At 39.6% G+C, this 13,777-nt stretch overlaps 1 protein-coding gene and 1 long non-coding RNA gene across 12 annotated transcripts in view, besides 2 other annotated features; one reads left to right on the forward strand and one right to left on the reverse strand.

Moving 5' to 3' along the window:
• Positions 1-13,777, reverse strand: part of CPNE4 (copine 4) — a 506,038-nt gene that overhangs the window by 256,375 nt on the left and 235,886 nt on the right. The gene's annotated exons all lie outside the window — the stretch shown is intronic.
• Positions 6,571-7,107: an enhancer, noted in NCBI's record as "OCT4-NANOG hESC enhancer chr3:131515358-131515894 (GRCh37/hg19 assembly coordinates)". NCBI's record gives its function as "activates a minimal SCP1, AML or CMV promoter by ChIP-STARR-seq in primed H9 embryonic stem cells {active_cell/tissue: H9 hESC(primed)}" and the evidence as "EXISTENCE:reporter gene assay evidence [ECO:0000049][PMID:30033119]".
• Positions 6,701-6,750: an enhancer, noted in NCBI's record as "active region_20535". NCBI's record gives its function as "activates an Ori minimal core promoter by ATAC-STARR-seq in GM12878 lymphoblastoid cells {active_cell/tissue: GM12878}" and the evidence as "EXISTENCE:reporter gene assay evidence [ECO:0000049][PMID:35858748]".
• Positions 12,867-13,777, forward strand: part of LOC105374113 (uncharacterized) — a 69,117-nt gene continuing 68,206 nt past the window's right edge. For 2 of the 3 annotated variants that reach the window (XR_007096088.1, XR_007096090.1), the window contains exons 1-2: positions 12,986-13,067; positions 13,454-13,559. This is a non-coding gene — a long non-coding RNA (uncharacterized LOC105374113). Of the gene's footprint in view, positions 12,949-12,985; positions 13,068-13,453; positions 13,560-13,777 lie in introns of those variants that run through there. The other variant, XR_007096089.1, reaches the window with a different exon arrangement.

Here is a 13,777-nt window from a genome sequence, read left to right on the forward strand (position 1 = left end):
CACTCAATCTATGTCTGTTTTCTTCCTCTAATTCCATTCTCCTTCTAACCACCTCCCCTTGTCAGATCATTTAGTGGACATTGGATGACAAGAAATAGGAGAGGAAATCAAGGAGAATCGTGTTTCTTCTCCCTAATACCACCTACCCATTCTACCTATCCATTTCAGGCAGCCTGGCAGTATAATGCCAACTTGGATTCATATATGCACACTTTTGAAAATTCAAGGTCCTGTCTCCTTTTCCTGCCAGCCAGATATGGGACTTATATACTTCTCCCTGGGTTGGTTTGACCTTTAATGAAAGACTATGCTAACTCCTGTGCTCACAAAGCAGTAAATACCCAAGTCTTTCTGTCACAGAGTTTTAGGAACACAGGGACATCTAAAAATTAACTAAGCTGCTTAGCCAAAGCTCACCTTCCCCAGGGGTGCTTCTTTGTTCTGCAGGCCAATTGGGACCTGTCTGGATACCCCCTACCCCAAAATTGCTCATTTTGTTTGCCAGTCACTCCTTGCCTGGCTCTAACAGGCACCTTTCTTAGGAGTCTAACTGAGAAATTTAAATTTCTCTATACAGGCCAAGCCTCATGAGGGCTATTTGGGAAAGCCAGATGCACCCTCAGTCTAGAAATCCTGCCCTTCTTTTCTTCACCCTGTGAATTCCTGCTTGTCTTCTGAGACTCAGCTGTGGCATCACCTCATCTGAAACTCTTTCTTGACTTCTCTTGCCAGCTCAGTTAGGTGCTCCTCAGCTGTCATTTGAAGAGTGATAATTTGATGCCATAGTGATTAAATCCTATCATTTATTTGAGAAAAAAACCCCACTGATTTGTATACACAAATACAAAAACATACAAATTTGCCTTCTTTAACAAATTTTGTAACCTTCCTTTTGCCCCTTCAAACAGTATTTCCATTTTATTTTCCTCATAGAATTTTAGCCTAATACAATACAATTTTATGCTTTAACATGTTTTATTGTGCAGTCTTTAGTAATCTTTACCAAAAAAAATTTCCATAACTCAAAGTGTTAAAGATTTTTGTTTGGATTGAGTTTTCATTACAATTTTAAGTACAACATTGATCAAAACAATAAATTATAGTCTACATTTTGATGATTACTGGATTTAAAATTATAATTCAGCATGCAGCTTTAATGAGATGAATGGCTACTCCTCCCACAATTACTTAATGTATCCATGAATAAATATGACCAACCACTAGGATAAATGAGATTCAGCCTCAAGTACATTCCTATTTTTCATTTTAATAAATGCTTACAACTGAGAAATTTTTTCTTATAAATAAATTGACATGAATGGAAGTTTTGTAATAGCCTTGTCACTCTTTTTTTTGCACTTTTTCCAAGTTGTATATCAAAACCACAGTGATTCATCAGCAAAAATTATTTTTAGTCATCCAACAACTGACAAGTCAATGAGGTCTACCTTCAATTTTGTGGAAAGAAAAGAACTGGAAAACCTGACTTTCAGAAAGATTTGATTACTGAATCAGGATAGTTATCCATTTTCTCAACACCTAAACTAATATTTCAAATGGCCCCTTGTTTAGCACTTGGAAGGTTTCAGTAAACCACAGGGTTTACTGTCATTATAGACAGTGTCCCAGTGCTGACAAGCTTACTTTATTTGAAAAAGCGTAAGAAGTATGAGTTCTTAGGCAGTTCAATTTTAGGAAACAGTACAGATGGAACTGGAAGATCTGCAAATTAAGCCCTGACTGCGTACTCTTCAGAAAATCATCACTTTGCCCCAGGGGTGGTGTTTCCCGATTTGAAGTCTGTTACTTAGGTGAATCAATTAACAGATCATATAAGATTGGGAAGGCAGGTAAATTATTGATACACTTGCAGGATGGAGAAATTTCTCATGATTCTCTGGGAAGCCCCAACCCCACGGCCACTTGGTGCCTTGGGGCCATGTTGGTGGAGGACTCATTTCATTATTAAGTCTGGCATTAAGGCTGCTAGAAGACCTCATTAAGTTATTTCAGATATAGGGCTATAATTACTCAGTAACAGAACTGGCAATTTTCTGCTTGCATCAGAATTTAAGGAAACTAGGACCAGAAAATGCCTATGTATTTCCTGGCAGAGAGGACCAGCCTGGGAAGAGACATGAGGCAGGAATGGTTGCAATGATTCTCTTTGGTAGATTTGGCTACTATAACATGAAATGATATAGGGGTGTTGCCATTGAAAAGTTTATTCTTGCCCCCCTCTCATATATGTTTCCATCCAATTTCTTTTATAAGAGAAAAATCAATCAGCAAAATTATATATAATAAATTCTTTAGTTCCATTTTCTTCCACTTCAGATTCCTTTTCATTTTCAGGAAAGATATTTTAATACCAGTGTAAGAGTGTTCTGCACAGAGTATTTATACTCAATTTTAATTCACCCAAAAAGTGCTTACTTGCCTTGGATGCCCTAAACATTACCATACCCGAAAACTATGTCCACATTTGCTCTTGAAGAAATCTCAACCTATGGCATGAAATACCATCTATATACCATATAAACTCAAATGTTTATACATATACCTGATCTCTCTCCTAAGTTCCCAATGTGAATATCCCAATGTGTACCTGCCGACCAGATACCTACACTGGAAATCTCATACATATATATATGTATATGTGTGTGTGTATATATGTATATATATATACACACGTGTATATATGTATATATACACACGTGTATATATACATATATACACACGTGTATATATACATATACACACACGTGTATATATGTATATATATACACGTGTGTATATATGTATATATATACACACACTATATATGTATATGTGTGTGTATATATGTATATATTGTATATATATGTGGAGTGTGTGTGTATAATGAGTGCGTGTGTGTATATACATACATACATACACACATATATATTTACAGTGTAGGTATTTCCAGTGTGTGTGTGTGTGTGTGTGTGTGTGTGTGTGTATCTCCAACAAAACATGCCAAAACCAGAATTGTTTTTTCCACTCCCTTCTCCCATGTGCACCCATGTGACACCACAGTGTCTTTTGTTTCTATAAGTGGCCCCACAATGCACTGAGTTGCTTAAATCAAAATTCTGTTGGTCATTCGTCTTTTCCCATACCCCAAAATCTAATCCAATCCATCAGCAAATAAACATTTTAGGTAAAGCTGTGAAGGACAACACCTTAATAACATTTCTCATAGCCTTCCATTTTTTTCTCCACTAGACCAAGAGTGACTTCATGGATATTTGCCACTGCCTACTCACAGTTTTCCTCATTCTTGCCACCCTTTCCTCTTTCAATCCATCTTCTACACAGGATCAAGAGGGAAATTTTAATCATGGATTGTATCACATCACTCCCCTGCTTAAAATTCTTTGTGGTTTTCTATAGTTCTTAGAAGCCAAACTTTTTCCCATACCCTATAAAGCTCTATATCAGTTATCTTTAGTCTGTGATTAGAATTACTGGGAGAACCTAAAATAACAACAAGATCAACAACAGCAGCAGCAACAACAACCAAAAATCCCAAACACCGATGCCTGGGCACCACCCTAGACTAGTTGATTTGGAATTTCTGTAGGTGGAGCATCTGCATTTCTGATACATAGTCACTATCTCTCTCACTCACTAAGATCCAAATATACAAATCTATTTCTTTTTTAAAACACACAGAATTTGTACCTGCCTATGGACTTTTTCACTGGCTATTTCCTCTTTCTGGAATATTTAATACTCAGATTGGCACATTGGCTGGCTCCTTCTCATCACCCAGGTCTCCGCTCAAATATCACCTCTTTAAAGAGAAGAGAGTCAGAGAAGAGGGCAACAGACTTGTAAACCTTCATGTCTGTATACATGAGATTAGAGTCCTCATGTCAGGAGTTACTCCTTGCATTCTCCAGTCACTCACATATCACATGCCCTGTTTCTATGAGCTTGTCAGTGGTTGCTCTCCCATTTTCTTGCCTGTGGTATGTAGCCATCCTAAGAAGCAACAGAATTATCAAGTTAGCTTTTTAACTCATGTTTACATGCATATTTATTCAAATAATTATAATTCACTGGGACAGTGACTGTAAGAATGTATGCATATGTATGCAGGATTATCAAGGTCTTAACATGCCATGCAAACAGGAGTCATCTCTGACTGCCTCTGAGGAATGACACTTCTCCTTGGGATGTATCCTGACATACAGACCTTTATGATCATCCTTCAGGGAACTTTCTCAAGAAAATACTCATTGAAAATCCAGTTCAATTTTGGAAACAACTTTTTTTTTTTTTTTTAGATGGAGTCTTGCTGTGTTGCCAGGCTGGAGTGCAGTGGCATCATCTCAGCTCACTGCAACCTGCAACCTCCTCCTCCTGGCTTCAAGGGATTCTCCTGCCTCAGCCTCCTGAGTAGTTGGCACTACAGGCGCGCATCACCATGCCCAGCTAATTTTTGTACTGTTAGTAGAGATGGGGTTTCACCATGTTGGCCAGGATGGTGTCGATCTCTTGACCTTGTGATCCACCCACCTCGGCCTCCCAAAGTGCTGGGATTACTGGCGTGAGCCACCACACCCAGCTGGACACTGCATTTCTAGGGATGTGGTTGACTTTGGTATAAAGCCCTTAGTGGTAGAATGAATTTCAACTTAGATATCCAAGCCCAATTTTGCTATAAAGGATCTTCCTGTATTCCTCCACTTTCAATATCTTAATAGGACTTGCATTGATAAGGAGTGCTAAAACTTACAACGTACTTTTACAGGTAGATGTTCTTCCTTATGTTCTCCCTTAACTCCCTGGGTAGTTGAGGCTTGAGTACTAGGTAGTTGAGTACCAGAGTTCCCACATATGAGTGTGTAGCTTGTGTGCTATAAAAGTGTGCCTGGATGAAAGCTTGGGGAATGAAACTCAGTCCCTCACCAAGGCAGTCGCCTTCCTTAGGGCAAAGTCAGCCCAGAGGAAAGGGTGTGTTTCCCATCTTCAACCACCAGAGGGAACATTTTTCCTATTTCTGCAACACTGCCATCTGTCGTGGCTTAGCCATGGCAGTACTACTATTTTGGTTAGTTGTTTATTGCTTTATTTTGCAGATGAAAACTCCGCTATTGAGAGAGGTGAAATATTCTATCCCAGCAGAAAATCTTCCAGTGAGTCAAATATCTGCTAGTGAGTTGACAAAAAAAATCTAGAGCTCTTTCCGTCAGCACTTGGAAATATTCTTATTGTTACTGTTGGATGACCCCTGGTTTGTAGACACCGCCTATAGGGCAATGGTTGGGTTCAGAATTACAGAGTGAGAGGCATAAGCATCAAAGCACAGAGAAACATATTAATAAAAGCCTCTGAGAAATAAAAATGAGATCCCAAATCCACCAACTGACTGAACAGAACCCCTCTTGGCCAAGGGGACCTCAGAGTAATCTTGAAAATTGAGTTCTCAGTCATGACAGTATGTGAGGTCAGACATTCCTTGTAATATCCCCTCCCTTGATAATCACCATTAAGCTTTCTTCCCTAAGGACCAAACAGAAACCAGCCCTTTACAGAGACTCTACCACTGATATCAACTAACCAGTAATGACTGCCCCTCCCTTTTGTGGTTTTAACAAAACAGCTGACCAGCATTTCTTCCTGATAAGAGACCACAGACTATGAAGTGGTTCTGGCCAGTCTATGGAGGGTGTACATTAGGGGCTTTTGTGTCCTGTGCTTCACATTTGTCATCAGAGGGCTGAAAACACCACCCTCGGGTCACGCTAACAAGGCTGTATTTTGAACATGGGTCCCCTGGAGAATCATGAAGCTCAGTTGTGAATGTGTGTGTTTCTCCTTTTAAAAATATTTATGACTCCTCTTATAGCTCACTAAATATGTAAATGTGGCCACCTCAGCACACACTCCTGTTCCCTTTTCTCCTCCCTTGAAGAGTCTGTTTTTGGCTCCTGGCCAGAGGCTATGCTTCCCAGTCTGTCAGAATGGCCACCATGCAGGTTGCAACGCTTTATGAGAAATAAAGCTCTTGTTTCCACATTTATGAACCTCATCATTCTTCAGTTGACATCTCCAATTCCATGGGAGTCATTTAACTTATCAGAGTTCTTTTCTCTTTTGGAAATTGAAAGGGTGGACTCAGCACCAAATAAGGTTCCTCTGGGCTCTAATATCTTTGGCTAGAGGAGATGACAGAGTTTTTTTTTTTTGTAAAAGGAGCTATTTATTTGCTCTTCCATCACAGCTGTCCAAGGTTATTTGAATCATAGCCATCTTGTGAGAAGACTTCTGCCACATTAAGCCATTTTGGAATCATCTTCAGCCTCGTTAACGACGTAGCAGGGTTAGTTTGGTCACTACCGACCTCCCTTTTTATCAAACTTGCTGTTGAATTGAATCTCTAATTTGGATGAAGTCGGGTGTCTCATCCCCTGGAGTTTAATTACACACACATTCATTGATTCTGGGCCTGCTCCCTCAGGTCAAGAGCACACAACCACCTCACAGCTTTCTGCAAAGAGGACATGTTGTATAAGTCTATGCTTGCAGTCTTTGGAGGAAATGATGAAGGTTGGAGAAAGGAAGCAAATAAATACATTTTTTCTAAGTCAATTCAAACTAGAATAAGTCACTGCCACACATCATCTGCCCCCTCCTCCCCAGGGTCCCCCTTCCCCTGGAGCCTCCATCAGTAAATGAATTTAACCTAATTTGCTGCTCTCTAGGGAGAATGCATTCAACCACAAGCTTCCCAAGGTGCTTCCGTTCCTGGTACAAAAAGCTGAAAATGTCATCGCATTTGCAAATGAACAGAAACCTCCCACTCAAAGAGCATCAGTGCCACTGTGGCTCACTGAAGCAGCTGGCAGGAGCCTTCCTCTCACTGCCATTGCTTTGTGGTTAGAATAATACACACATAGTCTTTTCATCTAATGACGTTGGCAAGTTTAACTTTCTTTGCAAAAGTAACAATGCTTTGCCTTCAACCAGCAGACTGTTCTCTCTTTCTTTGGAAAGGGCAGAATGGTTTCTATTTACTCCTGATAGGGCCAGTCACCTGCAACCTCTAGACATGTCTTCACTTCAGCTTTACCCCATGCTGTATAAACTCCATAGGTCACAGTGGCTTTGATATTCTTCAGCTATGAAAGTCTGAATTCTAGATTGAGATGCTGGCCCCATCAAGCACATCTTTCTTGGCGTTTTTTATTTGTCAAGGAGGGATGGGCTCAAAGCAGAATACTTTACACCCCTCATGATTTGCAATGACCTAGCTTCAATCTTTTCTCAGATTTAATATTTTCTGAGTAAGGGGCCCTGAACTCTGGCAAGAGGTGGCTTCTGGGTAAAGGCAGTACAGGAAATCTCCAATTTACTGGGGCTCTTTCCATGATTTTTGAAGCATGAAGGGACCATCATGGTGACTGGTTTACAGCACTGACTAATCCAGACTAACCAGTTCATTTTGTCACAGAGAACTCCCAGAGTGTGGCCAAAAGTGTTCGCTAGAGATTCTACCAGAAACTGCACTTACATTGTATTGCAAGCTTGCCAAATGTACATCCCAGAAAAGGCTAACACTCAGGACAGCTCATTACATGTTTTCATCTATTCTGCAGGAACTAGGACCACGGAAATGAGAAACTCTAGTTATAAACTTTACTGACACTTTAAATACAATAGATACACAAGGCTGGGTTAAGTATTATCCTCCATCTAGCAATGGCAATCTGGTTGGTAATCGTGCACTAACACTAAGGTAGATGTTCTGAGATATATAAGCTATCCTGCTCAGATATAACACATCGATGCCTTTTACATCAAAACTCACTGAATGAGCTGTGTAGAGGCCTGTCTACAAGTGCACTCAGTGAATAAAATTACCCCATGCATTACTCAGCTCAAATTGCCATAATAAAATACCACAGACTGGGTGGTTTAAATTTACACATACTCTGGAGGCTGGCAAGTACAAGATATAGGTACCCGCCAATTTGGTTCCCAGTGAGGGTTCTCTTCCTGGTTTGCAGACAACTGCTCTCTTGCTATGTCCTCAAATGACTGAGAAAGAGACCTCTGGTGGCTCTTTCTTTCTTATAAGGGCACCAGCCCTATCAGATTAGGGTCCCACCCTTATGACCTCCTTTAACATTTATAACCTCCTCAGAGGCCTTATCTTCAAATACCATCACTTTGGGGGTTAGGACTTCAACATATGTATTTGGGAGGGGGAACACATTCAGTCTATAACACCCACAAATAGCCAATTATGGGACATAGGACCTCAGGTGCTCTATCATTGAACCTGTGCCGTAATTATGAAATGAACACTCTTCAGAGGCCTCACTCACAAGTATCTGCCAATTAAGATGTATGTGTGGAGATGCAGGCAATGCTCATTCAGTCACCACCAGGGGCCTACTCTGTTTCATGACCTGTACAAGACAATGGGAAGCTAAATAGGATATTGTTTCTACCCTTAAGTATATCACACCATAAGAGAGTTAGGGGACATATAAAATCAGATCATTACAAACACAAAAAATGGTCTAAGTCTGATGTTAAATGTATACCTACAGTGTTATGAAAATTAACACCTAGGAACATCATCCAGCCTAGTTTATGAGGTGGTGATGAGAAAAAAAGCTTCCTGGAAGAAGTGATCTTTGAGTCTGATATGATAGTTTTTTGTGATATTTGAGAGTCCAGAAAGGAAGTGTTTCAACCTTCCAACTTTTTCTCAACTAGGCAAGTGTTTAGAAGCAAGCAAGGAATGACTTCTTCTTCTCTTCTCAGCCTGATCAAATAATCAGCTGAATTAGGACACCTCAATGTATATCAGGTGGTATATCATATTCTGTTAATATGGTATTACTGCAAATGCCATCCATAACTCAAATTTCACCAAGAAAAGTGATTACTTGGAAGCTTTTATTTTTCCATCTTCACTTTTTAAAAAAAACCACAAACCCAAAAGAAATTAATAAGATAAAAGCATGCAAAGCTTAACTTCATTACACTTTGAAATTAAATTGAACTTGCATGTCCCATAGTCAATTAAAGACACTTTTTTTTCAAACTCTCCTGACAAGGAATTTCCAAAGAGCTTAAGTTGTATTTACTCACTTTGTGGAGTTTTGAAAACTGGCTCCGACAGAAAAAAAATATGAACAATACCACGGATATGTTTTTAACTTTTTAAGCTATCCCATGAGAGACCAGATATAATCGAGTTAGGAAAGACACAATTAGCTGGGCAAGGACATTTTCCTGAAGTAAAAATAAACTCATTAAAGGTTAAGCTCTGGGCAGCATCATTAAGACCAAGGCAAGGAACAGAGCTGTGATACTAAATATTACCACTATTATAATCTCATTTAAGACGTGGCACCCAAGGAATTGGGTTAGGCTCAGAATCCTCCTTCACGGGCCTGCAAGAGTGTATTTCATTTCATCTCACTGAGCCTACCCTATGGGCAAGAGTGGTTCACAGAATTAGGACTATGCTGGAAAAGATAATTATTTTCTACCTACTCTGGTGTTGTGTTTTGTCTTTAATTTTGTTTTTTAAAATTTTGTTGTTACCCCCAGTCTCTGAATTTAACTATTAAATAAACTGAAGTAATATTCTTTCACGACCTCCTCCCTTTCCTACATTCCTCAGCAACCCTGAATGAGGCTCTATCACTAAATTTGGGGCCACATACAATCACTGTTTTAAATAGAAGCCTGGATCCCCTTCAGCCACTGCAATCACTCACTGGTAAAACATACCCAGCATGACAATTCAGTGGCCTCCATGTGCAGATTATCCTAGGGTTAGTAACGAAGTGGCCAATGCCAGCAGTTAGAGTTATTGCTGTCTCTATCATCAAAGAACAAGTGTAATAGAGCAGTCTTTAGTTTCCGAGATCCTTAAACATCAGGTGGATTGTTTTTTGTTGGTGCGTGTGTGTGTGTGTGTTGTGTGTGTGTGTGTGTGTGTGTGTGTGTGTGTGTGTATTTCATACATCTCTTTCTCCCACAAACCTTTTCTTTTTCTTTTTAATTTTAGATTCAGAGGGTACATATGCAGGTTTGTTACATGGGTATATTGTGTGATGCTGAGGTTTGGGCTTCTAATGATCCTGTCACCCAAGTAATGAACATAATACCAGATAGGTAGTTTTTAAACACTTGTCCCCCTCCTCTGTTTTGTAATTCTCAGTGTTTATTGTTGCCATCTTTGTGTCTGTACCTATCCAATGTGTACCTCCCACTTATAAGTGAGAATATGTGATGCCTGAAAACCTTTCCTAACCATGCCAAGAGAGTTTGTGCCCCTATTTAACTACTGAGATTGTGTTGCAGTTCTCCTAACACCTAATAATACAGACCTGTTTGCAGGTCTCCTACCATTATCACATGACAAGCTTCTTGAAGACAGCTTAGAAACCTATATATTCTTAGCTCCTTGCAAGTGCATAACACTAGAGTAACTGCTCACCAAATATTTACTGATGACTAGATGGACGGATAAATGGCCATCTGAGCCATTGGATCTGAGCTATTACTTGCCAAAATATTTAACGGGTGAGAAAAGTAGGGACTCTCTCAATTCTGTTTAGTGCAGTAACTTTTGTGGGAAGAATAGCCCTGCATGAGGCCCTCCTACTGCTCCTGATGTTGTCCATGTGCAGGCTGGGGAAGCCAGGGTGGAGATCATTCAAAAAAAGGAATATTGGGGTTATAATTTTGGAGGCTTTGAATGTCATCCTAAGGGTGTGGCCTTAATTCCATGGTGAAGGTTTGGAATAAGCAAGTGACACGATTAGATATATACTCCTTGGGACCTACTTTGGTAGCAATGGAAGAAGGCCAGGCCAAAAGCAGACATGCCTAACAGGCAACTTCTTAATTTTCTAAGAGAAACACTAAGAAGGCTTCAGTGTGGGTGAAAAGAAGGGCATGGGATTGGGAACTATTTTAGAGGTAAATGCATCAGATCATCATAGCAAAAATTCATCTAGAAAAATTTTCAAATGTCTCCCATATGGGTTGTAAAGAAAAAGGTAGAGATGAGAAAAAGGACAGAGCTTAAAATACAAGTAGGGACTTATGTCTAGTAGAGTAAGTATCCAGAACCCTGGATTGTGGTACATAAATATATATTTTCTCAGATGATACTCATGGGTAGCCTCCATCATTTTTTCAAAGGGCCTTGGAGAAATAAACTGCTTCTATTAGTAATGCCCACAGCAGGCCAATCAATCAGTACTCAGACAGTACCTGGAATTTTCTAAAAAGCTTATGCTGCTTTCCAGATTGAAATAGGGTCCGCTTTGTTTTTGCACTTTATTGCATTTCCCAATAAAATTCTGTCTAGTCACTGGAAACCATACATATATATATATATGTACCATATATATATATGTACCATATATATATATATGGTACATATATATATAGGTACATATATACGTGTGTGTGTGTGTGTGTGTGTGTGTGTGTGTGTGTGTATATATATATATATATATATATATAATATCACTGCTGAAGAGTTGAATCTATACGATTAGGGTAAAAAAAAAGTTGCCTTGTGACCTTAAATAGAAACAATAGTAGAATCAAAATCAGGTGTCCTAAAGGTCTCTGCCAAAGTAATATGTCAGTCAATAAAAGAGAAATCGGGCAGGTTGGAGAGGTATGGGTCGTTACTTATTATCAAAGACATGACTCAACTGTGGGTTAGTGCTTTCCAAAACTGGGCATTATAGTGCAAAATATTCCAGAGTATAAACTGTAGTGTACTCAAGTAGTATTTTCTCAGGCTTCTGAGTGCTGATAAGTATTCAGTAAATGCTCAACTTCAGGACTCAGTCCAGGTACATTGCCTAGTGGCAATGCCTCCAAGCCGCGCTAGGATTTGAAAAGAACTAAGCCAAATGCCAAAAAAAAAAAAAAAGAATGTAGACAGGGACACTGCTAGGGTAATAGTAGTAATAATAAAATGGTTTTAATCAGATGGACTGATCTTTCAGGTCTAGGAAATAGGGTGGGGGAAGTTCAGGGGAAAGATAAATTCAGGGTCGGTTTCATAAATCAGGCTATGCATCTAAAGTAAGAGAGAAAGGTTAATGCAGAACATGACCAGAAGGACTTTGGTGAGAATCAGGTTCTGGTCACCTGATCAAAGTAGAGTGCAAGACTTCCTTTCCAACGGGCACCAGAGATTTGAGGCCGTAGAAATATGGGAGAGAACAGGGAATGGACTAAGTGAGTAAGTCAACCACATCTACTCCTTGTCCAGTCTCTTATGTCACTGTTCTGCGGTTATACTAGTAGAGCATTTCCTCATCTGGGAAGTCTGCAACTTAAAGTCTGTGGGAAATGTTCAGTTTATTCTAACAAGGTAATTCATACAGAAAAGGGTCAAGAAAACTGGGAACTATCATTCAAAAGCCTCAGACCTCTGCTCTGGGTATAGAACAGTAGACTATTACAAACTCTTCTGGTTTGCACAGAAGAAAAATGTTGACAAATTGCCCAGCTGCATTTTCTGTGTTATAAAATTGAAGTAGGGGGAGGCAGTCAGCAGATGCTGGCTATACATTGCACTTAGCCTGGGATGGGGTCAGGACAGCACGGACAGACACTGTTTAATGGAAAGACCTATGTCACAATGCACTGAATTTCTCACAGCAAGGCTGTAAATGACATCAAAATACAGACATCTAAGCTGAGACCCTTAGCATCATCCTCAAAGCACAAAATGTTCACGGAGGGAAACCCTGGAATCTCCCCCTGAAAACCTGTTAATGTGGCTGAGAGCTCAAAACTGAATCATTGAAAACAGTATATTTTATGGACATAGAGAAAGATGCTGCTTTTCTCCTGACAATCTTCAAAGAGGGACCAGGTCATGATAAAGCAAAGCTGAAAGTCACTGCAGAGCAGGTCAGCAACCCACAGAGACAATCTTCCCTAAATTGGCACTTTAATGCCTTGGGTTTTAGCATTCTGGCCTCAGATGGAAAACCTGTATGGACTCAGGACTGGAATTAGAAAATTTTAAGGTTAGTTTGTTGGAGGATTTTCTAAGTTATCTATCCAATTCAGTTTCCAGGGAGGTAGTGAAAGGTTACAAAAATAAATAAAAAGACGAAGAAGAAATGCTTTGAAGCCAGAAATGTTTGAATTCAAATCCTGGCTCTACCATTAGCCAGGTGGATAACCTTGGAATTCGACAAATTACATAATGTCCTAGAGGGATGAATTTTCATTTGAGTATGGTTATGATTGCACCCACATCTGTGAGGATGACATGAGATGTTGCCAGTATCATATTTAGCACAGTGCCTGGCATATAGCAGAAAACAGGAAATGCTAACTCTCTTCCCTTTCTCTGTCCAGCTTTCTAATACAGTCAGTCCTACTCATTTAGTTTGTTATCTCTTTCTAGAGAACAAAAGCAAAAGGAAGTTTTGCTGCTAACTGTCTCTATCAAGTTTTTCTACATTGAAGACAAACTGTGTATGTGATTTGTTCTCCTCAAATGAGATATTCAGGTAAGAATACTCTGAAGGCATAGACATCTGGGACTCTCTCCTGAGTAAAGAATTTAAAATATGAGGACAACTCTATCTGTTCAAAAGATATTTTAAAATGTTGTTAGGCACCTACTTTGTGCCAGGCACTGTTCTAGCCACTGAAAACCCATACTTTAGACAACTCTCTGCCCTTGTGAAGCTCATACCCAAGCTGAGGAGAACATGCTGTGCTCAGA

Source organism: Homo sapiens, chromosome 3 (genome assembly GCF_000001405.40).
Source record: "Homo sapiens chromosome 3, GRCh38.p14 Primary Assembly".
Lineage (NCBI taxonomy): Eukaryota > Metazoa > Chordata > Mammalia > Primates > Hominidae > Homo > Homo sapiens.